Raw genomic sequence first — 27,166 nt, 5'->3', positions numbered from 1 at the left:
GGAGTTTGTGTGGTTTTGTCTCCTCTTTCTTCCTGGATCATTGTGCATGAGGCTGGGAGCCACACCGGCTGCTTAGGCTCCTCCTGCCTCCCAGGCCACCTGCAGGTCACAGGGGCTGATGAAGCCGTGAATCGCTTGGCTCTGTTTGGAATGCTCGTTCCCCGGTGCCATAAAGAAATAGCACTTGAACATAAATTTAATTTACTTAGTAAGGCCATTTTTACTTTCTGCAGAAAGGGTACACTCTCCAGCAGTTTTCCCACGAGAGTTCACCCAACAAAGGACACAGGGTCATTTATAACCTGACACGTCCACCCTACCGCTGTGTCCAGTTTCCGTTGGCTGGAAAGGGACCTCACATTCTCTATTTGTCCCGATTGGCTAGCAACTTAGAACTTTTTTAAAGAGGCAAAGGTAGAGGGGAACAAAGGAAGGAGGAAGTAACTTGTGGAATGTTGAGAAAGGTAAAAACACCTTCAAATAAGGAAGAGGAACAGGCTATGACCTAATGCTTGCTTGGACCAGTATAAGCATGCTAAGGCAAATATTTAGGCTAAATTGCGGGAGCTAAGAACATAACGTACATTGATTTCCTTATTACGGCTAGCAAATATTTAAGAATGTTAGCACAGATCTTTGAATAAATTTTGCCTCTAAGAGAAGTTAGTATTTATTCCTAATTAGACGGGGAGGAAAGTCTTTGAAGAGGAACCTCTGCTTTACTCTGTACAGCTCGGAGCTGCTTGCAGCACTCTGACACCTTCTGTCGGGATCTTTGGAAGACCTGCCTGGATCTCCCGTCTGTGGAAGGATCCAGGTACTTCTTACAACATCTGTGTTAGGGCAGCTGGTGACGGCACCCGGCAAATTCCAGCAACTGCCCTCATTCCACAGAGGCTCCCTCCTGCAAGGCCACTACTGTGACTCTGAGCAGCGGTTCTTCTCATGAATGTGATAGCTCGGTCAGCTCTAAGACTGCAACCTGCAGGGACTTCATGGGGCAACCCTGGGGTATGTGGCCAGTGTCTGTCCTTGGGCAGCCGTAGCCCCTGTCAGGAACAGGGAGTGACTCAGGCACTGGTGTCTTGAGACTGCTACGGTGTCAGGAAACTTCCATAAAATCTAGTGCGTTTTAAAAAAAGAGGCCAGAGCCGGCCAGGCACGGTGGCTTATTGCCTGTAATCCCAGCATTTTGGGAGACCGAGGCAGGTGGATCACCTGAGGTCAGGGGTTCGAAGCCAGCCTGGCCAACATCGCGAAACCCTGTCTCTGCTAAAAATACAAAATTAGCCAGGCATGGTGGCACATGCCTGTAGTCTCAGCTATTTGGGAGGCTAAGGCAGGAGAATCACTTGAACCTGGGAGGTGGAGGTTGCAGTGAGCGGAGATCGTGCCACTGCATTCCAGCCTGGGCAACAAAAGTGAAACTCTGTCTCCAAAAAAAAAAAAGCCAGAGCCAGCCTTTGCCTCCTATGTCAGAAATGATCATTTGCAGCTGCTTTGCTTTGGGGTAGAAGCCTCAAATCCTGAAACCCTTTACCCTGGGGCAGGTTGTCTTGTGCTGTAAGCAACAGAAACCCATTTAGATCATTTTTAAATAATGAGAATTTCTGTTGGAAGGATGTCGGCTTAGCTCACACAGTGTCTAGGAAGACTGGAAAATGGGTCTCAGAAACACTGCAGGCAGCTTTGTGTGGCAGGATCAATCCAGTTCCTTCTTGGTGACTGCTCAGGGGAACATCCCATTTGCCTTGCATGGTACTGAGCCAGAAGGTCAACTCCAGGCCTGTCTGCCTGTATCCGAGAAAGCAGCAGCTCCCCACAATGAAATGTAGCGTTTTCCAGCTCCGGATCCTTCCGCCATCCTCCCTGAGATCTACCTGCCTTAGGATCTGTGAGATCCACGCACTTTGCTTTTCCTGGGTGTCTGGTTACTGTTCACAAAAGTCCAGCAGTTTGGCCTGGTGTTGTCTTTGTTTTTGACTGAGCATCTCTCATTTCACAAGTATTTATTGCAGCTGCAGCTCTAAGCAATACCAGGCCCAGGGATGGGCGTCAGCACTGCCTTGAGCTGGTGCACAGCACATCCCGGACGGAGGGGCAGGGCCGTCCTGGTGCACACGCAAGCCTGAAACCAGATAGTAATTGATACCAGGGGAGCCGGCAGGGCTTTCTGCTCTACACAGTTAATGTGGGCAAGCTGTCAACAGTAAGGCACTGATGTCATTTCCGTGATGTGTCCAGTTGCAGCTGGAATTGTCCTGAAATGGACAAGGCAGGTTTACTGGCGGGAGACGGTAGAAAGGAAAAATAGCGCATAGAGGGCACCAGGGCCCTGTGACCCTCGTCCGCAAGTGTCTCCTCATACCTCGTGGTTGCGCACCGTGGTACGGGGCCACCCTGAGCGCTGACTCCCGGGCTGTGAAGTGGGAAGAACAGCAGCACTGCAGGACTCTTGTCAGCCTTGTGGTCTGTACGCATGGAAAAGGCCGTCAGCTGTGCATAGCAACTGGAAGCCATGGCTTTTTAGCATAAAGCCCAGTTCTTCGGAAGCCCTCATTACGTACTGCGCCTTGGGCTTTCTCCTCGCAAATTCCCAATCCTGCCCCACTGGGCCTGGGGACCCCACGTCCCTGAAAGGGTCGTGTTCCATCTTAATGTATATGAATCTTACTCTGTGTGTCAGTTACATCCTAATAGGTTAAAAACTTGCTCAAATGGTCAGAAGCCTGAAAGAGGCGTCAGGAATCCTGTGTGAGGTAAGATGGGGGATCTGTTTGCACCTTCATCTCTCCATATGAGATCTTCCATATGAGCTCTTCCAGAAACCTCTGCCCCAGGCTCCAGCAAGCCTGTAGGGCAGCGGCTGCTAGGCAAGGGCTTGAATTTCAGTCCAGATTCTCTGGTGTGTGGGTGGACAGTTTCCTTCTGGGACTGAAGGAGCACTTGGAAGATGGTGCTTTCCCTTCTAGAGCAAACCTTGGCATTGTCCCAGCTAAGCTCTCATGCCCAGGGCTTGGGGGTCTCCTGTGGCCTCCATATCCCTGCACCTCATGCAGGGCACGCAAGCATCCCACCCACTCCCAACCCCCCACCTCCAGCCGTCGTGCCCGGCATCTTTTCCCAGCATGAGAACCCGTTGGCTTTTCTCTTTTCCCGCCTTGCCATGAAGGACCTGCTGCCAGGATTCGAGCCTCAGACCTTGGACAGGTCTCGGGCCAGCCTCAGCCACGTTCTGCGTGCCCGGCCATCAGGGAGGGTAGAGGGTGGGTTTCACCAAGGAGAAAGGCAACCCGTGTCGGGGAGGGAGCCGATCGCTAGGCAACCTGGAGTTTGTTACCCTGGTAACGGATCCATGCACTGATGATGCTGCGGATGGACATCTTGTGACAATGGCCTCTCAGGCTCCCCAGACGCATCAGCGGCTCTGGATTCCCACCTTGCGCCCAGCGTGGTTTTCCTGTGTGGCTACCATTTAACGAACAGCTTGGATTTCTTATAATCAGGCACTCTCTCCGATAACCATCCTGCCAGCACCCCTGAAAGTGAAGTTGGGGTGTTCCTCACTGTGTGTGGGCGACCGCCTGGGGCATGAGACCAGGACTTCCAGGCCCCACAGGGTTGTGCGCTCAGACCTCAAGTAGGGGCCAGAAGAGTGTACTGAAACAGAAGGAATCTTGTGGAATTTGGCAGTTGTACCATTTTCTTAGCAGAAAACAGGAGCCCAGGTGGGAGCCATGTGTGTCGGGTTCCTCGTCAGGTGACGGTGCTGTTGCGGATCTCGCGGATGAGCTGAGGGGGTATCCAGCTTTGTGCTGCACGCTTCCTGTCCACTCATACAGGTCGTGGGCTGGTGAGGACACGGGGGTGTTGGCCCTCGTCCCTGCCTTATTTTCCCCCTCCCCTGCCCTGTTTTCCTGGTGCAGAAGGATGTTGGAGTGCGGATCCATGCGGACACCCTGTTTGGGGACCTGGGTGTCGGGGCAGCAGCAGGAGTGACTGGGTGCACGTGTGCCTTTGGTGTCTGAGCGTCAGGTGCAGCTGCCGCTCAGGGCTGAGAGGGGCCATGATTTCTCCCAGCCGGGGGTGGCAGGAGAACTGCACTTAGCTTGGGGGCCATGCGGGGCTGGCTGTGGACCTGGCTACCCCAGCCCATTCTTCTGAGGCTGGGACAAAAGCCTTTTTTGTACTTTGTGCTCAAAGAGACAATTATCCCAAGTCCCACTGGCCGAGCACGGCCTTCCATGCAGGGCTGGTGCAGGTGCTCTGGGCCGTCCCTCCCCAGCACCGTGTATAGTCTTAACAGGATGCAGTCACGGCCCCAGTGGAGGGGGATTTCCTTCCTCGTCTCCGAGCGTGTGGCTAACGGAATATGAGCCTTGGTGGTCCAGCAGGAGCCCCCCCGTGGCTGGGGTCCCAGTCATCGTCCCCACCAAGTGGCCAGCTTGGGGACTACTAAGAGCCCTTGAGGAGGTTAGGGATGGAAGGCGAGGCCACACAGATGAAGTTGGCCTTTGTGGAAGGCTCCTGCTTTTGCCTGTGGGACCCTGAGCCTGCTGCCTTGTGCTCAAAGGCCAGTGATCCCGGGAATGTCACACCTTCCTGGTTGGGTTACCCATGGTGGGTCACCAGGCTGGGCTCAGCCTGGAGCAATGGCCTGGACCGTCCAGCCTCAGAGGGAGGGAGGGGATGGGGATGTAAGGCCGCCGTCAGGGTTGATCTGGATATCTGAAAAGTTGATGAGCCCCAAAGTTTTAATCTGAGGCTAAAGAGTTCTAATTTGACAAGAGACATTGCCCCTTCCTGGCATCTCGGCGGATTGCACCTCTGGAACTCAGGTAGTTGTTCTCTTGTGTCCAGGGTGTGGGTCTTGAAGATGTGAGGTTTGGGCAGATGGTCAGGAGGACCTACGAAATCCAAGGATGGATTTGAAGGGGGCAGTTTTTGTTGGAGAAAATGCTGCTTCTCTGTCTCTGAGGTCTTCGGAGCCTGCTGGGTTTGCTGCACAGAATAAAGAGAGAAAAGAGGCCCTGAGGCTCTCGCTGCATCCTGGGCGGGCCCCGCAGGGTGTCTGCCCTGTATGTGCACGGGGCGCAAGCATGCGCGTCTGTAGTGTGGCAGGTAAGGCCTTCCACCACCCTGCTGAACGTCTAGATGCAGCCGCGCTGGTCCAGATGAAGTTGCTAGAGAATTTGTACTTGGACTTGTGGGAAGGACCACTGGGGCCCTTCCTGGGGTCACCCCTGCCCCTCTGTCCTCACAGCTGTCCCTTCACCTTGTTGGCAGCACCAGGAAATCTGTCAGGATTAATATGATGGCTCTGGCCTGTCTAGAGAGCTGCTTGCTGTGTGGTCCTTTGAGAAGTTTGCTCTCCTGAGCCCCTAGAGGCCTCCTGCCCTCAGGCATACCTTCCCTGCCCCAGACCCGCCATTTCTCCTCACCCAGCGCAGGTGAGAGGGGCTGGAGGAGCCTGCCCAGGCCGCCTGTTTGTGCAGGGCCTGTCCAGGAAGTTCCTTTGGACGCACACGCCTTATCCCCTGTCATAGTGTGTGAGGGGCAGCTGGTGCCGGTGCAGGCAGGGAGGCACGCGGTGCAGGGACCCGTCCTGTGCTGGACTAGCCTGTGCTGGCCTCGGGGCCCCATGGTCCTGAGGCTCTCGGGACTATGGTCTGCTGGCAGGGAAGCAGCCGTGTGCGTCTCCAGCCAGAGCCGCAAGTGGATGGGAAGTGGCTCCTCTTCGTGTCAGTGGCTCCCTGGAAGGTGATGCAGGTGGAGGCGGTGCCCTCGCTGCTCCGCCACCCTCGCTTGCCCAAGCCCTGCCCTGAGTGATGAGTGGGGAGCTGCCCCTCCACGCACCCTGTGGCCCCAGCCACCCACCCACTGTGCTCACCCCTTCCCTCCTGGCAGGTATCCGCCCCCAGATCATGAACGGCCCCCTGCACCCCCGCCCCCTGGTGGCGCTGCTGGACGGCCGCGACTGCACTGTGGAGATGCCCATCCTGAAGGACCTGGCCACTGTGGCCTTCTGTGACGCGCAGTCGACGCAGGAAATCCACGAGAAGGTGGGCCCACCCTGCCCGGCCGGGGCCTGCACTGACCTTGGGCAGTTTCCTCCCCAGCATCCCCCCATTAGATCGCCCCAAGTCACCGGCAGGCCCCAGAACCCCTGTTCCCTGCTTTCCTGCTGAACTCCTCTGCCTCAGGTTCAAGGGTGATAGGGCCAGGGGGCCAGGCCAAGTGGTGCCGGTGGGCTGCACGGGGTGGGGCTCCGACCCTGTGCTCTGTTCCCACGCAGGTTCTAAACGAAGCCGTGGGCGCCATGATGTACCACACCATCACCCTCACCAGGGAGGACCTGGAGAAGTTCAAGGCCCTGAGAGTGATCGTGCGGATAGGCAGTGGCTATGACAACGTGGACATCAAGGCTGCCGGCGAGCTCGGTGAGTGCGAGGCAGCGCTGGCTGCCTGGAGTTGTCCGGAGCTCTGTGGGCCCTGCTCGGGTGGGCTTGGAGAAGCAGCTGGAACTGGGACCACGGAGCAGCCGCTTCTGGCTGTAGCAAGGTGGCTGCCTCCAGGCCGGGCTGTGGAGCACCTTGCGGCCCTGCCTTCACATGACACAGGTAGGATAGTCCCTGCTGGCCCTTGTGTGGGGTCTGCGGGGCTGTGAGGCATCTCTGCCCTCAGAGCAACACCCAGCTGGCACAGGCTCAATTTGGAGACACCCAGTGCCGCCTCCAGAGGGGAGAATGCGACTGGCCACATGTCCTCTAAACCACCCCTGCTGGGTGCGTCCCCTAAATGACCCCTGCCGTGTGTGTCCCCTAAACTGCCCCTGCCGTGTGCACAGCTCTAGGCCCCTGTCCACATGGGAACCTGGGCCTCCCGTTCTGGGAGGGCAGCCTTAGCAGCATGTGGTCCAGGTCAGCACCAAAGCAGGTGGGCCCCTGCCCAACACAGTTGATGACAGAGGCTTCCGAAGAAAAGCAGAGGCAGCAGGCGGGAACCCAGAGTTGGGGGCTTCAAAGCTGCTTATCGGCCCCATGCACTTGCGGCTGGGGGTGCATGTTGAGGGGGGCCTCTGCCCAGCACCCCGTGTGAGCTCGTGAGTGCTGAGTGCAGAGGCACAAGAAGCAGACCGCTGGCATCGAGCGTCCTCGGGAGAGGGCCAGGTGGGCACTGTGCTTGCTCTGTGTTTGGAACACGCCACCCCTGCATTTTGGGGGTGGGGGCTGTACTCTGCCTTACGAGTGCTGAGGTGCCCCAAATTCATGAGGCACCATGAATTCCAAGGCAGCAGCCTGGCCTTGGAACAGCTCTTCCTGTGCTCCAGGAATAGCCCAGGCGCTATTTCCCCACCTCTCTCCCATCGGCTAAGGCCCCAGTGGGCCCCGGTGCTTCCGGGACGGGCTGGGTGTCAGATGGGCTCTGTGTGTGAGCGGAGTGTTACATACATCTGAGAATCCTGCTCTCGGGCACCACCGGCCACGTTTTCAGGGAGGCCACCCCCATGGGCTCCAGCTGTCTCTCCACAGCCTTAGCCTGGGGCATGGAGTGTATGGGTCAGAATCTTAGTTGAATCCTTCACGGCCAGTCGGGGCAGCACCCAGGTACCGGAAGCACTGGGTGGGTCTTGGTGTCAGGAGCAGGGCTGGGGAGCCGGGCGAGCAGGGAGCTGCCCGTACACTCACAGGGGTCAGGACGCAGTGGGGTGGGGCTGCCCCACGGGCAAATCCCAAAGCAAAAGGCCAGGGAAGGAGAGAGAGTCACTCAGATTCCACACCCCTTAGGGTCCTGGAAGCAGCAGCTTCACACATCCACCCCTCACCCTCCCCACACCCCTCACTTGCTACCAGCCACGGCGTCCTTCCGAGCCCCTCTGTTGGAACAAAGACACTCCAGAAGATGTGAGTCTTCAAAGGCGTGTTTAATATAAACTAAAATTTTCCATCTTTCCCTGGCACAAACAAGGATATTTTTGTTTGAAAACAAATGTCCTTTGTGCTCTGGGTAGAGCTGAAATCCCAAGTTTCAACAGCAGAGGAGAATACAGCTTCATGTGCCAGGGGCTCTCAAATCCTTGTCCCCCGCACCTCTTGCTTCTCCAGCACGTCGGCCCCTCACCACACAGCTCCCAGGCCCATACGGGTGCTGACCCTGCCCTTCCTCGGCTGGACCAGACGCTGCTTTCCAGGGAGAGAGGGGAGGTCCTTGCCTGTGGAACTTCCTATTTCTCCATTTCTAGAAGTGCCCCGCACAGGCAGTGGGGCCAGAAAGGCACCAAGGCCTCAATGACAGGGGGCCTGGGAGGGCCGAGATGGGAGGTTGTGTTCCCTGAGTTCTGAGACCCACAGAAGACGACCAGGACCAGGGACTGCGGTTTTGGAAAATGTAGAAGGGCTGTGAGTGGTGGATTTTCATTGATCCTGGTCCCATCTGATAAGGGCGCTTGGAAGACATCTGCGGGGCCCTTTTAAAGGGCACTTTTCGAATGTAGACTCTGGAGGCGGAAAATGAGCCTCTGTCCAGACGTCCTTTGTCTCCGAATGCATATTCCCCACATCATGCGGTCAACGGGCCTTTTGTGCTGAGGGCTGGGAGCGGCAGGTGGCTGCAGGCAGGCCCTCTCCTGATGAAAGAGGGTCCCTCGCAGGCCCAGAAAACAAGGCCCTCCATGTTGCACGAGGCAGCACACTAGGCCTCTGGTGACACCTTCTGGGATCGCAAGGCTCTGAGCTGTCAGCCCTGGAATGACAGGCGAGAGTCAGCGCTTCACGGCAAGAGCAGGGCAAGGCTTGAGGAAGCTGCTCACCTGCACTTCTCCCCACGAGCCGGGAAGACCTCGAGAGGGCCCTACACCCCTCCCCACCCCCGCCGCCTCTAGCAAGCTGGTTTATGTGGTTTCCTTGCCAGCGGCAGTCATGAAGGGATTAAAGCACGATGGCACTGACCGTGAGAGAAAAGCAGCTTGCCTCTTTGGGGCCGTTTTCCAGGCTCCGTGGATGCTGGGAGGCCCAGCCTGCGAGTATCAGAGCCACCCATCGTGTGGCACTTGAAGGATCAGCTTGACTCATCCAGAAGGGAGGCTGCATCCACAGAGCGATAGAGGACAGCTAAGAAGATGCTCCCTCCGAGAGAGCGGTGAGGGTTATGGAGGTTCCTGGCAGTGGCGCCGCCGCGGTCTGGGTGGGAAGGTTCTGCCATCCCAGGCAGTGGCTGCAGCTCTTCCTCCTGCACCATCTCCCCGTCCTGGGACTCTGCACTCCGGTGAGCAGTGGAACCACGGAGCTGAATGTCCAAGTTCGGTGAGAAGACTGACCAGATGTCCTGCCTCAACCTGCCTTTTTGTGCCACCCACCCACCCGGGTGCCTTTACACACGTGGCCTTGTGGGGTCTCCCAGCCAGCATCAGCTCATCTCCTAGGAGGAGGTGCTGCTGTTGACGCCAGGCAGCACTGCCGAGCCAGCCCCGGCAGCAGCACGGAGCCAGCGTCCTTGAGGGTGATTCTGCTGCGGGGCCTCCCTGCTGGGCTTTAGCCTGCCCGAGGAATGAAAATTGTCCCAGCCGCCAAAGATTTTCTTGAACCTCTGGCATCAGCCTCAGTCTGTCTGACTTAATAATAACATGGCATGTGATCAAGCCCCAGCTTCTCTGCTGAGCTATTTCAAATGAATGAGGCCAGTTTCCTGCAAGATTCCTGGCATCCAGCTCGTGGGAAAGTTGGTCGGCCTCAGTCACCGTCAACCACACTGGTCCCTTGGCAGGGGTCGGTGGCCCAGAGGAGCCCTCAGTGGCCACGTTGGGTGGGTGGGTGACCTGCTCACAGTGGCTTCACCTTCTCTGAGCTGTGTGTCTTGCTAAGCGGGTCACTCTCAAGGCCCTAGACCTAGGGGTGGCCCTTGTGGGGAGACAGCCACGCAGCCATCTAGAAAGTGGGTTTGTGGCACCCACTGGTCTTGTTTCCTGTCCAGTAGAGCCGAAGAAGCTGCCTTGGTGATTGCCGTCCCCACCCCAATCTGTCCCCACCCCAATCTTCAGGACTTAAGATAGAGGAATCCTGGGCTGCCTTAAAGGTGGCCCTGTCCCAGTGCCTTGGGCACCCCTTGCTGGGAGAGACACTCTCCTAAGGGTCCCAAAGCTGGGATTAGGAGGGAACCATTTCACTTGGGCTGACGTGATGCCCAGATAGCCACACCCCTCCTCAGAGAGCTCAACTGGGAGCCACAGGCTGGCTGCTGAGCCCACCCTCTGGGGCCCCGCCCCTGGCTCGGCCCCTCTGGTCTCTGCTGCAAGCAGGCCTCTGGATCTCCACCTGTCGGGTGTAGGGAGGGGCCGTTCCCAGCCTGGCCCTCTGCCTACTTGCACCCCTGTTGTATCTGGCAGTCATTCATTCTTCCCCAGACACCCTCTGGCTGAGGAGGGTAAATGGCAGGGCCCTTTCTGCCTATGACTTGGGTTAACTCTCCATGCCACAGCTGCTTTGTGCTGGGAGATACTTGACCCTGGTCTCTGCAGCTCGTGTGGGGCCAGAGGGCTCACCCCAAGCCACCCTCGGCCCTGACCTGAAGGCTGCTCCACGGGGCAGGGAGGGCATCCTGTCTGCTCTGAGTTCTTCCCAGCAGAGCAGGGTGCTGAGCACATGACCACAGGGCGATTGTGCACACGCTTCGGCCATCGGTTCCGTTCCCGGGGCCAGCCCTTGCATCCGTGTGGGGGTGGAGGTGTTTTTTTAAAACCAGTATGTTTAAAACGTATGTTTTTTGCATCAAACTGTTAGCATAGCTTAAAACCAAAAGCCATTCTTTGTCACCCTGCCAGCTCCATGAGGGAGACCCTGAGGGGTTTGAGGCTGAGTGGGGTCCACTTGGAGGAGTCTGGTCTGAGGCCCACTGGCTTCCTGCCACTCCGGGTCCTTTCTTGGGACTCAGTGCAAGCCCAGGAGGAAGCCAGTCAGGCCCAAAATCAGCCATAGGAGTTGGGTTGGTCATGAGCCACGTCCTGGAGCAAAAGTCCTCCTTGGGAGGGAGGGGTAGATGTTGGGGCTAGAGCTTCCCATGCATCAGAGCCAGAGGGCCTACCGCCCACGTGCCCAGCCCCGCGTCTGCTAGACGATAAGGTGGGCCTCCCCCGGTGCCAACAACCGAGTCTCAGGAGGGCGGGCTGGGAGCCCTGGGGCTTCCCCACTGATCTTGAGGTTTTCTCATCTCCGGCCTTGGCCTCATCCCTTTCAGGAATTGCCGTGTGCAACATCCCGTCTGCAGCCGTGGAAGAGACAGCGGACTCTACCATCTGCCACATCCTCAACCTGTACCGGAGGAACACGTGGCTGTACCAGGCACTGCGGGAAGGCACGCGGGTTCAGAGCGTGGAGCAGATCCGCGAGGTGGCCTCGGGAGCGGCCCGCATCCGTGGGGAGACGCTGGGCCTCATTGGCTTTGGTACGTGCCACCCTCTGCGCTGACCCCCAACCCCTCCGACACTGGGGCTGGTGTAGTGGGGACCCCTCGGGAAAGGCAACCCCAGCCTGCTCTTGAGGAGCCAGGGCAGGCAGGGCCAGCACCCTCCCCGTGTTGCACGGGGTAGGAGATCGGAGTCAAGACCCATCAGGCAACTCACCCTAGAGGCAGGATCTGGGCTGGTTCTGGAAGAATGCGTGTCCACTGCTGTCTGTAGTGTCTGGCAGGACAGCATTCTTTGCTGTGGGGCAGCGGGCAAGGCGCTGTGCCCAGTAAATTTCCCTGGGCAGGGGTGAAGGGCAGGGGCTGTATGGAGGTGTGTCGTAAAGCAGCAGCCAGGCTTGGGGCTCGTGTAGGGGCTGGCGTAGGGTTCAGTGGAGACGCGGGTTATGGACATGGCCTCACTCCTGAAGGCCTTCAAATGCCAGGTTGGGGTGGCACAGTCAGGCCATCAGCTTGGAAAGCTCTCCTGAGAGAGGGGCAGGAAAAGGAGACGTGAGGAGAGGCCCAGGAGGGTCTTCAGCAGGGTGGTAGGGGCCGGTGCCACGGAGAAGGTGATGGTAAGCAGCCTGATTCCATGGGGGCTCGAGGAGGTCCCCACCCTGCTCACCATCAGGGTCCACACCACACCCAGGAGACCTCGGCCCATTGCCACTGAATCTCAACCCCACCGCTTACCAGCTCTGTGGCCTTGTGGGAATTACCTGAGCTTTTTGCCTCAATTTCCCAATCTGTAAGTAGATATTTGGTGGGATACGTGGTATCTGCCTTTTGGGACTCCAAGAAGGCGCATGTGCACACGGGGCCAGTAATGTTCTGGCCTCCGGGAGACTCCCAGCTGCTGCTCAGCCCTTGCTTGGAGCTCCGCGCCTCCGAGGACGAAGCCCCCGTGCTCCTCTCCCCACAAGCCCCGCTCTGGACCTGGGGTGCCACTTGAACAAGAGAGAAGTTGCTGGACGCTTCCAGGAGTGCACACCTTTCTGTCCCCGCTACAGGCTGTGATCTCCTGGGTCTGGCCTCGCCCGACGCCTGGAGTCTGAGTTGAAGTGTCGGGTGCTGGGGATCTTCTGAAAGGACCCACCGTGTTTTGACTTTGTTGGAAAACAGATGTGGTGTGTGAACACCAGGCTCCCTCTGTCCGGGCCCCACTGGGCCTCATGGCTCGGAGATGCAGCTTCATCTCCATCTCTGAAGCCCCTCCTGGGGCCTCGGTGGTCTCTGGCCAGGCTGCAGAGCCTGGGGGTGGTCATGAGCACCCTGGGTACACGGTGGGGCCTCACTGGGGAGGTGCTTGTTTCAGGGGCTTCTGACTCCAGCCGTCACGGGACTTCTTCCTGGGGTCGTTCCTGTAGCTGTGCCCTTGTCATTCAACTTTAAAAACCCTCTCGGTGTATAGAGGTCAGTGCAGCCCCCTGCCGCCGCCCTGTTTTCTCGAGACTGTACACTAACCCCTGCCGCCACCACCCTGGATCCTCAGCACAGGGACTGTCGTGCTCTCCTTGTTCCCTTTCCAGGTGTCTCTGTAGCCTTCAGGACTGTCGCTGCTGCAGCCATCCTGGGCTAAGAGCTTTTGCTGGCCTCGGGTTCTACTGAGCAAGAGTCCCCCAGGCCCAGCGGGCTCAGTGCAGCAGGCGGGGTGGGACGGTGCCGCCAAGAGAGGGCAGCCTGGGGCTGGGGGCATGGACAGAAACTGAAGGAAAGGCAGCCTGTGGGAGCTGCGCTTTTAAAATAAGCGGCATGGGGGGCCGGGGGGGGCGCTGTGACGGGGGAGCAGGTCTCTTCTGTAGGGACTGGGTTTTGATTAAGTCAGTAGCAGGATTAAGTCATTGGGTCATCAGAAAATCTCATGGATAAAGTTCAAGGGGTTTGTGAACTTTAAAAAAAAAAAAAAAAAAAACAAAGAAATAGCCGTCGGCACGGTTCAAATCTGGGCTTGGTGCTCTGGGCTGCTTTTCCACAGGCCCTCCAGGCCCTGGATCTGCAGAGTGTGAGCCCCACTGATTGAAGCATGTTCGTGCACAGACGCCATGAGGGGGATGGAGGCTGCAGGAACGGGGGAAGGCAGGCGGGGGTCCTGTGAAGTGTGAGCTCCCAGCAGTTGCATGCTGGGGTCCTCAGTTTCATGTTGCCAGTGCGTCAGAGAGCCATCTCTCACTCCGTCCCTGCCACCGTCCAGTCCTGCCTGCTGTAAAGGGTGACACTGAGGAGGAGAGGCGTGATGGTTCGTGCCTTGCTATACTAGTTGTCCTGCAGCTGTCCCTGATCAGACTGGCCTTATTCAACCTTTGTTCTAAACTACGGCAGTTGTCCTAGCCAGGCCATCGGTTAGATGGAGCTGCTGCAGGAGGAGCCATCCAGCATTGAGGTACCCCTGGAACACAGGCTGCCTGCTCGGAAATGCGCATCTTTGTCCTTCTCCTGCCTGCACCTTGGAGCCATGGCTTTAAAGATTCCTTCTGTGATCTCCAAGAGAACCAGTCGAGCATCAACACTAACCATTTTGTTTTCAAAATGCTGAAAACTGCTCTGGGAAGCTGGAGGTGCTATCGAGGGGGACCCCATGGGTTTATGAAATGACAGCCGTTGGGGAGTGGGAGACACCTCCTCATCCTGTGACATAGCTGGCGGGAGGCCCAGGCTGCATAATGCAGATGGGCGCGAGGCCCCACCAGTGGGACAGGTCCAGGTCTGATGGTCATGTGCCCTGCCTCCCGCCCAGAACACAGTAGCATGTGGCCAGTCTGCACTCGGGCCAGCCTGCAGGGAGCCATTGTGCTCATGTCACCCTTTGCAGGAGCGAGCCCAGCAATGAGGAGGCAGGACATTACTCCCTGTGACATTGAGAGCAAGTTTTTCAAACACAAAGCTCATGTTAAGAAGCCTGCAGTGCACACAAGAAGTGGGGAGAGGGGTGGGAACGGAGGACACGGGTGGTGATGGGAGGGGCATGTGGGCTTGTCAGAACACTCTGTGTTTGAAAATGTCAATAACAAGGAAGGGTTTTGTTTTGTTTTTAACAAAAATCCTGCTGTACCCAATATAAGCAGCAAGCACTGCGGTCCTCACCTGTCCTACACCGGCCATGGTGGCCCCTCGCGGGCAGTGCTCGCCTCAGGCCTCACTAAGCTTTGGGCACACGGTTTCTCTGGCAGCAGCTACCAGCGGGGATGCCAAGCCCGGACTCAGCTCAGAAGCAATGGAGGTGGCAGCGCTGGGGCGCGGGCTGTGGACTCACTCACCTGGACGCTCTGTTTCTGTACAGGTCGCACGGGGCAGGCGGTTGCAGTTCGAGCCAAGGCCTTTGGATTCAGCGTCATATTTTATGACCCCTACTTGCAGGATGGGATCGAGCGGTCCCTGGGCGTGCAGAGGGTCTACACCCTGCAGGATTTGCTGTATCAGAGCGACTGCGTCTCCTTGCACTGCAATCTCAACGAACATAACCACCACCTCATCAATGACTTTACCATAAAGCAGGTAATTTGAAAATAGATGCCATGGAAGCTTCTGTCGAAAGGTGGTAGCACTTGCTTGTGGGCACAAGAGGGACACGGAGGGCAACGGAGGTGGTTTCTGGATACACTGTTGAGCAGGGAAGAGGCCCTGCAACAAACCAGTGACAAGCCACGTGAAGCCCCTTCCTCGGGCTGAGCCAGGCTAAGCAGAGAAGGACAGGCGCTAGCCAGGACCCAGCTTCAGAAGCTTCCCAGAACCTTTAAAGAGGCCAGCAGCTCGGCACAGTCCAGCCTTTCCACCGTGTTGCTTCCTCTCAGGATCAGCAGCAACGGCCCTGGCTTCCAGCCGTCACCAACACTTCCCACTCCCTTCCCTCAAACTGCAGCACACACATTAAACCACCAGACCAACAAAACTAGCTTGCAGCTTTCTTCTTTAAACCTTGGTACAAGAGTCTTCCACCATGCCAGTGTGCCTGTAACCGGCTTTTCTTTCCTTCCACAGATGAGGCAGGGAGCATTCCTTGTGAACGCAGCCCGTGGCGGCCTGGTGGACGAGAAAGCCTTAGCACAAGCCCTCAAGGAGGGCAGGATACGAGGGGCAGCCCTCGACGTGCATGAGTCAGAGCCCTTCAGGTGCGTGTTGCCCCAGCCGCCTACCAGGAGCCCACAGGGCCCAGCTCCACACCTGACCCCCACACTTTGAACTCGAGGCCCTTTTCCCAAACAGGTCCCTGGGCAGGAAACTCCAGAGATGACATTTACAGTCTCTGTTCTTCTAAGGATTGTGCTGTATTCTAATTGTAAAAGGGCTGGAAGTTTCCCAGAGGTCATCAGGGAAAGGAGAGGCAGAAAATTGGTGGGGGTGTGGCAGTGGTTCTGGTCTTCAGACAGACAGGCATCATCTCTGCCCTGGATTACAGCAGGACAAGCCTTCAATAGAATTGGGCTTTTTGATCTACCAATTATACGGTTCTTACACAACTTTGATAATTACATTCAAAAATTCCCAGCCTTCATAAAATATCATCACAGATGTTCCTGTATCCATGCTATCTATGTAGCTACTTTTCTACATGGCCAAGAGCTCCCTTGTGCTGAGGAGGGCAGGGAGCGTATGCGACATTTCCCGCTTACTCTGTTTTTTCTACATTTTTCTAGCTTTGCTCAGGGTCCGTTGAAAGATGCCCCGAATCTCATCTGCACTCCTCACACTGCCTGGTACAGTGAGCAGGCGTCACTGGAGATGAGGGAGGCAGCTGCCACCGAGATCCGCCGAGCCATCACAGGTGAGCCCCTCCGTGCCTCTGGCCTGCCAAGGGCAGCCTCAGCTCCACAGTGCAGCCGGCTCCTGTCCTGCTGGCTACAGGCAGCTCTCGACAGGTAGAATTCACTTTTAGCATCAAATTTATATGAGTTGGGCCCTGTTTATTTACGTAAGCCCTGAACTAAACTTCACAGAGGGAACCATTCCCTTTAGTCCCAGACATTATAAACTCGGGGGTCGGGGGGCACACAGAGGCTGAAGGTCAGTGTTGAAGAGCTCAAGCACTTGGGCCTTTGGATGTTCTACATTTTTACAAATGCTTATTTCCCCACATAAGCAGCTACAGGTGTAATGTTGAACTTACTGTGATTTGTAAAAATAATATGATTAATTTTAATCATCTTACCCTAGGTCGCATCCCAGAAAGCTTAAGAAATTGTGTGAACAAGGAATTCTTTGTCACATCAGCGCCTTGGTCAGTAATAGACCAGCAAGCAATTCATCCTGAGCTCAATGGTGCCACATACAGGTGAGAAAAGGAACTGACTTTGTCTCAGCTTGTGAGCACCACGGCCCCGGGGCCAGGGAGAGAAGCCCAAACTTGGCGGAAGCTTAACCTCCCGCAGATGCTAAGTCAGGGTCAGAACAATCAGCCTTCTCAGCAGGAACTGTGTACACCGCCCCCATTTCTTCCAATGCCTAATTTCATGGAACAAACAGAAGCTCCTATTTTAAAAGGGGGTGTGTTCGGTCAGATGTGATTGACCACAGGTGCTAGGAACTGCCTTTCATTCTAAAGCCATCTTAAAACCAGAAGGCTTCCCAGTCACGTGTGGTGGCGCACACCTGCAGTCTCAGCTGCTAGGGAGGCTGAGGTGGGAGAGGTGCTTGAAGCTGGGAGGTGGAGATTGCAGTGAGCCGAGATCACCCACTGCACTCCAGCCTAGGCCACAGAGTGAGACAATGCTGCTACCCCCCGACCCCACCCCACCACCAAAAAAAAAAAAAAAAAAAGGGCTTCTCAAAGAGAAAGGTATACGTAGATAAGATGTTCAAGTGCAAAGGCCTGTGAGCAAGTTCATTTTCCAATTTGAATCTTATGTCCACAGAAGGCATTCTGGTACAGTCAACTCAGGATAGTACAATCAACTCAGGATGATGACCTTGTCCACACACTAAAAATGATACCTGTAGTTTGGGTCAGCTGAGAAACTGGAGCCATGTTTGGGAACGCAGAGTGGGGGAAAGACAGGAGCCCTCACAGGGAGAAGGGGTTCCTTTTGTGGTATTTTCCATGCACGAATCGGTTTTCTCCCACACCCCCCCCCCCATTATTGCTGGCTTCCCAGGAAAATCAGTAGCCCCCTCATGCATAAATGAATGAAGTTGCAGCCTTGAATCTTAAGAAAAATTTTTGCATATTCTAAACCAGGGTTTCTAGCTCTTGGCAATAAGTATATTTGGGGCCAGATCATTCTCTTCATTCTCTCGTAGGAGGCCTGGCCTGTCCTGTGCATTGTAGGACGTTCAGCGGCATCCCTGGCCTCTACCCACGGGATGCCAGTAGCACCTCCCACTCCCACTCATGATGATTGAGAATGTCTCCAGCCACATGTCCCCTGCTGTAGCCACAGTGACGACCAGGGTGCATTCAGTTTGTGTAATGAAGGCTCTGACACTCTTGAAGAAGCTATGCCGGTGCTTGCAGGTCACATGGCTGTCTTCACATTTCATCCAGCCCCGTCCTTTTGGCCCTCAAAAGTATTTTGAGCCTATCACAGCACCAGATTCCCCTGTTGGGTGGAGCTGGGGGCCCACCTCTTCCATGTCTCCATTGTTATTTATCCTTCACGTAAGCTGGGGCTCTTAGGCCCCCTAGAACAGTATGTGTGCACTGAGGAAGGGACCCTAATGACCAGAGTCCTTCTGAAGGTCTTGGTGACAGGATGGCAGGCCAGGAGCTGGGGGTGGGGTGGCTACCATAGTGAGATGCCTCCTCCTCTACCTGGATGGATGATAAGTCTGTGTGAATACACTGAGTCCCACTTTGCCCGAGGACCCTGTGTTCTGTGGTTGGCGAATGCAGTGTGTCCTCACACAGCACTTCGTGCTTGCAATATAAAACCAGCCCGAGCCTGGGCGTTCCGAGGAAGGCGGGCCCCCAGCCAACAGCCAGCAAGCATACCACTTCCCATCTCAGGCCATGGGAGTATATAGCCAACCAGCCTAGAAAGCTTAGTGAGTTCTGGCTGCCATAATTGAGTAGCATAGACTGGGTGGCTTGTAAAGAAATGCCTTGCTCGCAGTTCTGGAGGCTGGAAGTCTGAGATGAGGCTGCCAGCATGGTCAGGTTCTGGTGACGGCCAGGCAGCAGACCGTCAGCTTCTTCCCACATCCTCATATGGCAGAGAGAGGGCCAGAGCACTGACTAGACTCCCTTGTGTAAAGGCACTGATCCCATTCATGACCCAGTCATTTCCTCACCCAGTCACTTCCCAAGGGCTCTACCTCTTAAGGTCATCACCTTTAAGGTGTGGGATTTGAACTGGAATTAGGGGGATGGAGGGAGACAAACATTGAGTCCCTAAGGGTCCATTGTACTCTGTTGGGAAATCATTTTATCAGTCAGAAGTAACTGGTGAACAGTTGGGAGTCCATTTTGTACAAAGTGGGTTTTTTTAAATAGTATAATGTATCCACATTCATAAATAGTATGGGCTAATATCTTCTTATCTAAAAGCTACAAAATTAGTGGCCCCGTGTTTGGATTGGACTAGTTTTGTTTTTATGAATTAGTTGCCAGTGTTTTATATAAAAATTGAGACTTCTCCTTGCTTTGGGGATAGGGAAGATAAACTATCCCATAAAAATCGTTAGCCAGGGCCGGGCATGGTGGCTCACGCCTGTAATCCCAGCACTTTGGGAGGCTGAGGCGGGCGGATCACGAGGTCGGGAGATTGAGACCATCCTGGCCAACGTGGTGAAACCCCGTCTCTACTAAAAATATAAAAATTAGCCGGGTGTGGTAGCGCACACCTGTAGTCCCAGCTACTTGGGAGGCTGAGGCAGGAGAATCACTTTAACCCAGGAGGCAGAGGTTGCAGTGGGCTGAGATTGCTCACGCCACTGCACTCCAGACTGGCGACAGAGTGAGACTCCATCTCAAAAAAAAAAAAAAAAACTATTAGCCAGGCCTGGTGTCTCTCGCCTGTACTCCCAGGACTCTGGGAGGCCTATGATGGGGCATCACTTGAGCTCAAGAGTTTGAGACCAGCCTGGGCAGTCTGGCAAAACCGCATCTCTACAAAAAAATACAAAAACTAGCTAGGCGTGGTGGCTCATGCCTGTGGTCGCCACTACTTGGGTGTCTGAGGTGGGATCACTTGAGCCCAGAAGGTCGGTCAAGGTGAGCCATGTTCATGTCACTGGGCTCCTGTCTCTTATGAAAAGGCCAGAAGTAGAAGAGCCAAGAGCTTGGCAACTCTGCCCTGAACTTACAAGGCCCTATTTCTGTGTGTTCCTTAGATATCCGCCAGGCATCGTGGGTGTGGCTCCAGGAGGACTTCCTGCAGCCATGGAAGGGATCATCCCTGGAGGCATCCCAGTGACTCACAACCTCCCGACAGTGGCACATCCTTCCCAAGCGCCCTCTCCCAACCAGCCCACAAAACACGGGGACAATCGAGAGCACCCCAACGAGCAATAGCAGAGAATGCCAGAAGGTAATCACTCAGATACACTTGGGACCAAGAGACAGTGAAAAATAGATGAACTAAGAGAAAAAGAATCGGATGGTCTTTGTAACTGATTCTGGACATATGCATCATTGATGTTGCAGTGTTGAAACTACAAGAGCTAGAAAACTGAAGATGTCGTCTGCTTACGGAAGCGCTGAAAGACTAGGATGTGATTTATTAACGACCAACTTCTGTTATTGTGTGTTAAGTTTTTCATCTGTGCATCAAATCACAAAAAGAATAAATAGAGCTTTTTCCTTTATCAGTCCCTTGGGCACAGCAGGTCCTGAACACCCTGCTCTACAATGTTGCATCAAGAGTTCAAACAACAAAATAAAAAATATTAAGAGGAAATCCCCATCCTGTGACTTGAGTCCCTTAAGTCTACAGGGGCTGGTGACCTCTTTTTGCTAATAGGAAAATCACATTACTACAAAATGGGGAGAAAACTGTTTGCCTGTGGTAGACACCTGCACGCATAGGATTGAAGACAGTACAGGCTGCTGTACAGAGAAGCGCCTCTCACATCTGAACTGCATACTGAGCGGGCAAGTCGGTTGTAAGTTCAGTAAAACCCTCTGATGATGCAAAAAAAAAAAAAAAAGTATTAAGTTTCACAAGCTGTTTGTACTCAAATATATTTTCTCAGTTTCAGATCCTCTGCTATTTTATTGAGTGGAAAGTCTTGAGCTAAAAGGGTTCAAGAAGAATAATGTTGCATTTCCTTATGTCTCAGGAAACACTTTTTATGGTAACTTGTCAGATTGTCTATGAACAAACCCACTTTTTTAGACATTGATAAAGTCTTCTTTTCTTCACGTGATATTTTATACAAGAACACTTCAGATGTATTAGATGTGACTGATTTTAACAAATCCTATTAGATTTGTATCAACTAGTTACATGTTCTATTCATAGTCTTTTGTGAATCATTGCCTTTTTGTTTAAAAAGATGGCCTATTTTGAGCCTTTGTATAGGTACATTCCTGTTTTTGTGACAAAAGAAAAACTTTAAAATTGTCCCAAACAGAAAAATAATGGCTATCAGAAGTATGTTTTGTTTTAGTGTGAGTTACCGTTACTGTATTTGTTTATTGTAAAGGTGGACATTTAGCGTTCAGTGCAGTTTTCAATAAAAAGTAATTAAAATTTGTTAAGTTCTGAAATTCAAGTACATCTCACTAATGTAAATGTTCTCTACTTGAGATGTTTAAGGCAATTGCATTGTCAATTAGCCAATTTCCAGCTCTTGTTACTACAGGGTTCCATAACCAGACTCAAGACCGCTGACAATTAATTACCTGTGATAACAAAAAGTTTAATTGAAAAATCAAAACCTCACACAAGTCCATCATTATCACGTCATGCCATCCTTAAGATGCAATGGTGGGTTAGTGCTAAATCAATTCAAAAAAAAACAAAGTTGCTCAACTTTTAGAGTTCTGACTTTAATCTACCCCAAAGCAAAATGACCTGGACCTGGTTCAAGGGAGGGAAGTGAACCTTGAAACTGTTTTGCCAATAACCTAACAAACAAAATGATATTTACAAAGAAGTGTTGCAAATAGTCCCATGAGTTAAGAGCTTGATTTAATGGATCTTCTTTTTAAATAGAATTAAACCTTTATACTAAAAGTATTTGCAAGTGTCAATTAAGTCCAACAATTCCAGGTATGAAACTCCCTCTGAGCTCTTCCTTATACTTCCCTTCCCAATTAAAACAAAACAAGAAAATCATGGTGTCTTAAAGCCTTTGGCTTGCCTGGCCTTGTCTGCTCACTCATTTTAAGGTGGTGGCCCCATCCCAACTCTACCATAAAAGTGTCTATTAACACAAGCTCACATGGAGAGAGACGGCGCTCATAGTTACTGACCTATTACCCCAGGGAACAAAAAGGTAGTTTAACGTCTTCGTAACCACTCATCAAAGAGGCAATGAAATATGCGTGAAAAGGAGGCCAAGCGCACACAGAATATCTTACCTTCACGAATATGTGAAGAAGTCTGGGACACGATGAACCTAAGAGTCAAAAACATAAAAAGGCAGGTCTGAATCCATGGTCCACCTGGGTTTTAATTATTAGATCTTGGTCGCCCAAACAAAAATTTATATATATATATATAAATTTGACCCCAAGGAAGAACAAGTCAAAACAAAATGCCACGCTCTGTTTGCTCTAGAAAAAGAACCATCAAGTCCACAGAGTGCAGGTATGACTTACTCTCCAGAGTCAGTCATTAATGTCTGTCACCTAGCCACGTATAATCATCTTTGAAAAAGGACTATATTCTATCTTGGGACAATAATTATGGCTGTTTTAATAGTTCAAGAGCATAATATAGCATTGATTTACCAAAATTTTTGGCCTTTAACAGCCAGTCTATGAAAACCATTTAGAGCCCCATTCCTGTCTGTAGCCTAGGAAATGGAACCATCTTTAATTCTTTCCCACAGGGAAGAATGCTGCACCTATCACACTATGTGGTCAGGGTCACTGATTGATAATAAATAAATAAATAATAGAGCGCTCAGGGGAAACAACACTCACCAGACCACAACACACAGTAGAAGCTAAGTGCTGAGCGTGTACTCTGGACAACGCTGGCTGCAATGCAGACTGCAATGGCTACATGCTTTTCCCTCTAACAATTCTCTTTGGCTTTTTCAATTGGGAGGGCAGATTTTGCTTAACAGGCAACTAGAACAGGATCTCTGCCCACTAAAAAATTATCCCTATACATAGAGAAATTACTACAGATGCTAAGTAGTCAGAATGCTAACATTTTCTACAAACTTGATTACTTATTGGCCAAAATGAAAGCAAACAGCCAATTTTTAACAACACATTCACCACTTGAAACAAACAGCAGCATTTACATTATATCAAAGATTCATTTCTACAGAATCGTACTAAAAAATCATTTTTCCTGCAAGATTTAGCATGCAGCAAAAAATGATCTTTTCATCCTGGGAACACCTTTTTACTGAGTTTTCGGGGGGAAAGAACTAAAGACATGACAGTTTTGTGGGTATTTTTCTATTTTTAGTATTCTGGCAGCAAATTTGAGGTTGTACACATTTCATTATCAACTAAACAAAACAAGAAGCAAGCAAATACTTTAAGGTTTTCACAGCCTTTTTCATCACAGGGAAGGAAAAAACTGTGTGTGTGTGTGTGTGTGTGTGTGTGTGTGCGCGCGCGCGCGTGCGTGTGTCGTCTTTCCAAATTCCTGGCCACATCAATAGTCTAGAAAGTGCTTATCAGGACACCAAATATTTCTGTGTTCCTGAGATAGGTCTGAAATTTTTACCCAGTATTGAATGTATACCTGAAGTGGTCAAATAATACTTCTTATAAAAAAGTTTTTCTACCTAAGATTATAGTTTTAACTTTAAATTAAAGAATGGCCACAATTAACCAACATGCAAAAATTCTCAGACTAAACACTGAGAAATTCTTCATACAATGCATTTGCCACCTTATTGCATTTTTAAAATCTTTATTCTGTAGTGAATTGGTATTCCCAATCTGCCTAAGCAAAGGCATGCCCTTCTAACAAGATTTGCTTAGAGCAGAGGTGATAGAAGGAAGAATCCGAAGACCCTCTGGCATGGCAATCTGGGAGCAGCACATTGTTGATGGAGTCCAAGTGAGCACATTTCACACAATTCATTTAGTGACAAGTGGGCTTGCTCCCTTTTCATCCAGGAAAAAAACTACTCACAGACCACTGCCCAGAATCTGGAATAAGAACCCTCATTTTAAGGTATTCTTCCCAACAAATAAATATCTAAATATTGAAAGGGGGCATATCAGAAAACTTAAAGACACAATAACCAAAACCAAAACCCTCTTCAAAACAAGTAAGCAATGTCTGTATTTAGTTCACTCTAAAACATTCTTAGCTTTTCTTGCAGTTTGTTCCTAAAAGATTTGATTGGGCACAAGAGGAACGAAATTATTAATAAAATAAAAGCTTATTTTTGTTTTGCTGTGGATAATCGGTACAAAACGTTTCCAGATCTGAGACTTAGATGGATCTTTTAAGGTGAAAGTAGAATGCCAGGTTCTACTGAAATAATATCTGAAAGGAACAAAGAGCCATTTGCCATGTGCTTTTTCTAAGTGCCCATGCTGGAAAAAATTTTCTCAATAATATGAAGATGCTGGTACAACTTTTCCTATTAAACAATGTCTTACACAACCACATGCGTTACATTTATAGACAGATTTACAATTTGGAAGGAAAAAAAGTTCTGTCTTAATAAAATTAGTTTTTTTTACAAACTGTAGTCCAACTAAAGTTCTCTGTCTCCTCACGCAGCAGAGGCATTATCTCCATAAGGTGTGTGTGGTCCAGGAAAACACTTCCCCGAGCAGATCCTGCCAGATTTGGTTCATTCCATGATGTCGACTCTGCTTGGAGCACCACACTAACTTTAGGGTCATTACAGATCTGATGCCTTGGTCTTCTGCTGTTTGATTTTTTTTTTCATTCATCTTCATCATCCTCATCTTCCTCTCCATCAGACAGGGATGTACACGGCCGGATCTGTCGGTAGCGGTCAAGCCATTTTTCTACCATCTGAGTGACCAGGGGGTGATTTCGCCGCCGAGAACTCTTCTGCATGGCAACCAGAACTCCCCCCTCCGTCACACAGCAGTCCAGCCACTCCCTGAGCAGTTTTTCTTGCTGTTCCTCATTACCTAGCTTTTGGAGGAATATGAAGACAAAGGGAAAATCATACAACAGATCAGAGACTTGGTAGGAATGTGACATGGAAACCTACAGCTGGTATGCTAACTCATGAAAAGGCCAAAGCAATCAACTTTTCACATGGTTTTGACCTCTTGGAAGTTTTGTGATTAAAGTCCAGTTTGCTCTGGTTAAATTTAAAAAGACATAAATGGGAAATTTCTCAGAAAAAAACTAAAGAGGAGCACACTAGAGGGTAATTTGTTAGATAAAATAAAAAACAAATGTCCTAATAAACTGATCCTGGCAAGCCACAGCTTCAAACACATGACAAGGTAAGTTTACTTAGTCAATTATGTACAAGCTGAAATTATACAAGTTACGGTCTATGAACTTTTTTTCTTCATGTTGTGATTATAAACGTTTTATAATTACTAGTATATTAAATAAAAGACCAATACTTTTATAAGAATACTGGCTTTCTGAAAGAGCGTTGTTTTTGTACCTTCTCACCACCTCCCCTGTCTGGTCTACAGCACCCTTTCACTCCCCTTCATCTACAATACCTGGTGTTCCTGCTCCTGCCATGCACCAGACCCCAAATGTTCCTCTTCTGGGTAAACTGGCCATTGGTTTACCACGTTATCCAGAGTAAAACCCAAAGCTTTAAAAAGCCTTCAATGAACTCCCCCCCATCCCTATCCTCTCTGACCTCTTCTCCCTTCCTCCCTCCCCCTGCCGCCTACCCTCTCTCTTTCCCTGTTGCTTCCCCTCTTAAACCACACTGGCCTTGCAATTCTTGGAACTCTGCTTTCAGATAAAAACTCACTTCTCATTCCCTAAAATGCCATATTTAAATCACAAACCTCATCTTTACTTTTTCTTCTTAAAACCCATCACCACCTTAAGTTCCTTGATGTGTCCCCATACAGCAGTTTTGAAAAGGTAAATTTCAAAGTATAGCTAGTACCTTCAGCAATTACTACCATCACATTCAGAAATTAAGTGATAGTGCAGATAAAACCACACCTGAAAGGCACTTCAGGCTGTTTCTGGTACAAGGTCACTACTAGAAATAGTTCATAGGAGAAACTGCTTACCTCCTGAGCAGAAAGGAAGTGCACATGGAGTAGCTTCCTTTCACTGTCAACCAGAGGCAAAAATGTGATGGTGACATCATCATCGGTATTGAGATTAGCACCAGCACCTCGGTTGCCATAGCCATCATTTTCCATGGCAACCAAAGCAGAGAAGTGGCCCCTCGTATAACCCAGAGCAATCGGACTTTTCCAACAAAAACTCTGTTCCCACAACAAAGGCAGATAAACACCTGGAAAGAGAGGGAAGAAAATCCCAACAGTCACAGGAAGAAAGAGCCACTCCCTCACTGCCCTTGTTCACATTCCCCTGTCCACTGCTCCTTCCTGACATCTGAGCCATTCCGTTCAAAGAAACTTGTAAAACGTTCCTGAATAATGGCTTACCTTGAAACCGAGTATATCCTAAAGTTTCTCCCCGGAAACTCTTGTAATATTTTACTCCATAAACTATAATTGGTCGTCTAAGAATATGTGCCAGTACAAAAATGTGCGTCTGCTCCAAGCTTGCTCCAGGCTGTACGAAACAAAACAAAAACTTAAAACATTTATTACCACTCCTGGAAAACTGATGTGTAAAAAACAATACTACCTCCCCTTCAGTATACTATCGCAGTTGGTTTTTAAGAAAGAAAAGATTGTCAAAGCAGCATTTGATTCCTCAAATAATAAATCCAGTAAAACTGTAAAAGAAATCTATAAAGGCTACATGCAAATATCATTTACCATCCAAACTCACAAATTATACAGATGTGCATACATACTTTGAAATATCCCTCACTACTAACTCTCCAACCTCAGGAACCAGAGATTCAGATAACTAAGGATGCTTTATTATCACATTCTCGTTAAGTTACTGTGAAAGCACTACCTACAACAAAGTCCTCCTGAAATAAATAAGTGAGCCTGTTTCATGCAAATGTAAATGGCAGTATCAACTAACTCGTGAATACTAATATTAAATGGGTCCATCATCGAGCTACAATGCATGGTGTGAGATACATGTCTCATGTAAATCAACCACTATGAATCCTGCCCAAATTGCCCAAAGATCGGGTACCTCCTTCTCTAAGTTCAAATGAACCATGGTGCTTTCTGCAAAAAAAAAGGAGTAGTTGTATATATATTTGTACTTTACAGTTTGGTATACTGAAGTGCTTCACAAAATAAAGCATGAAACCAAGAGTCTAAGGGACAACCCTACACAGTTCTGTGTCACAAGCAGCCTTCATTAATAAAAAGACGTTAGCAAACTTGCAAAACTTCATTCCCACATTAATCAGAAATCATTCCTATTGATGGTAATTAGTTCAGAGTAAGCTAAACTACCCTTTTCCTTTGCCTACATGACACAGGTATTGCCTCACCACAGGGAGCATTATGAAGATTGACAACTGGTTCCTCAGGGCCTGACAGATCAGCAACAGCAATGCAAGTACCTACACCAGTAATCTTAAG

The 27,166-nt window shown here is 51.1% G+C and overlaps 2 protein-coding genes and 1 long non-coding RNA gene across 36 annotated transcripts in view, besides 5 other annotated features; 1 reads left to right on the top strand and 2 right to left on the bottom strand.

The window, feature by feature from the left end:
* The window catches only part of CTBP2 (C-terminal binding protein 2), a 178,147-nt gene extending 153,064 nt beyond the window's left edge, over positions 1–25,083 (top strand). For 28 of the 30 annotated variants that reach the window (XM_047424671.1, NM_001083914.3, XM_047424679.1 and 25 more), the window contains 8 exons: positions 5,908–6,062; positions 6,296–6,440; positions 11,230–11,436; positions 14,717–14,931; positions 15,415–15,545; positions 16,071–16,198; positions 16,588–16,705; positions 19,702–25,083. In XM_047424671.1, the coding sequence (XP_047280627.1) occupies positions 5,908–6,062; positions 6,296–6,440; positions 11,230–11,436; positions 14,717–14,931; positions 15,415–15,545; positions 16,071–16,198; positions 16,588–16,705; positions 19,702–19,882 (1,280 nt within the window). In that variant the 3' untranslated portion in view covers positions 19,883–25,083. Of the gene's footprint in view, positions 1–3,381; positions 3,854–5,684; positions 5,761–5,907; positions 6,063–6,295; positions 6,441–11,229; positions 11,437–14,716; positions 14,932–15,414; positions 15,546–16,070; positions 16,199–16,587; positions 16,706–19,701 lie in introns of those variants that run through there. The other 2 variants (NM_001363508.2, XM_047424680.1) reach the window with 2 other exon arrangements.
* Positions 1,043–1,548: an enhancer, noted in NCBI's record as "H3K27ac-H3K4me1 hESC enhancer chr10:126696421-126696926 (GRCh37/hg19 assembly coordinates)". NCBI's record gives its function as "activates a minimal SCP1, AML or CMV promoter by ChIP-STARR-seq in primed H9 embryonic stem cells {active_cell/tissue: H9 hESC(primed)}" and the evidence as "EXISTENCE:reporter gene assay evidence [ECO:0000049][PMID:30033119]".
* Positions 5,682–6,222: an enhancer, noted in NCBI's record as "H3K4me1 hESC enhancer chr10:126691747-126692287 (GRCh37/hg19 assembly coordinates)". NCBI's record gives its function as "activates a minimal SCP1, AML or CMV promoter by ChIP-STARR-seq in naive H9 embryonic stem cells {active_cell/tissue: H9 hESC(naive)}" and the evidence as "EXISTENCE:reporter gene assay evidence [ECO:0000049][PMID:30033119]".
* Positions 6,223–6,764: an enhancer, noted in NCBI's record as "H3K4me1 hESC enhancer chr10:126691205-126691746 (GRCh37/hg19 assembly coordinates)". NCBI's record gives its function as "activates a minimal SCP1, AML or CMV promoter by ChIP-STARR-seq in naive H9 embryonic stem cells {active_cell/tissue: H9 hESC(naive)}" and the evidence as "EXISTENCE:reporter gene assay evidence [ECO:0000049][PMID:30033119]".
* Positions 7,906–9,548, bottom strand: LOC124902520 (uncharacterized). Its single transcript, XR_007062329.1, has 2 exons — positions 8,949–9,548; positions 7,906–8,742 (listed from the first exon to the last, which is right to left on the bottom strand). It is a non-coding gene; the product is annotated as an uncharacterized LOC124902520 (long non-coding RNA).
* Positions 8,559–9,059: an enhancer, noted in NCBI's record as "H3K4me1 hESC enhancer chr10:126688910-126689410 (GRCh37/hg19 assembly coordinates)". NCBI's record gives its function as "activates a minimal SCP1, AML or CMV promoter by ChIP-STARR-seq in primed H9 embryonic stem cells {active_cell/tissue: H9 hESC(primed)}" and the evidence as "EXISTENCE:reporter gene assay evidence [ECO:0000049][PMID:30033119]".
* Positions 11,123–11,292: an enhancer, noted in NCBI's record as "experimental_10909 CRE fragment used in MPRA reporter constructs". NCBI's record gives its function as "activates a minimal promoter by MPRAs in K562 erythroleukemia cells, with activity observed for both the introgressed and non-introgressed 10:126686762 variant alleles {active_cell/tissue: K562}" and the evidence as "EXISTENCE:reporter gene assay evidence [ECO:0000049][PMID:34662402]".
* The window catches only part of ZRANB1 (zinc finger RANBP2-type containing 1), a 71,296-nt gene continuing 65,340 nt past the window's right edge, over positions 21,211–27,166 (bottom strand). For all 5 annotated transcript variants that reach the window (XM_006717907.3, XM_047425383.1, XM_047425384.1 and 2 more), the window contains 3 exons: positions 26,096–26,225; positions 25,712–25,941; positions 21,211–24,626 (listed from right to left, as the gene is read on the bottom strand). In XM_006717907.3, coding sequence (XP_006717970.1) covers positions 24,408–24,626; positions 25,712–25,941; positions 26,096–26,225 — 579 coding nt within the window. In that variant the 3' untranslated portion in view covers positions 21,211–24,407. The remainder of the gene's footprint in view (positions 24,627–25,711; positions 25,942–26,095; positions 26,226–27,166) is intronic.

The sequence above is a fragment of the Homo sapiens genome, chromosome 10, assembly GCF_000001405.40.
Source record: "Homo sapiens chromosome 10, GRCh38.p14 Primary Assembly".
Lineage (NCBI taxonomy): Eukaryota > Metazoa > Chordata > Mammalia > Primates > Hominidae > Homo > Homo sapiens.
This window is presented reverse-complemented; position numbering and strand designations above follow the sequence as displayed.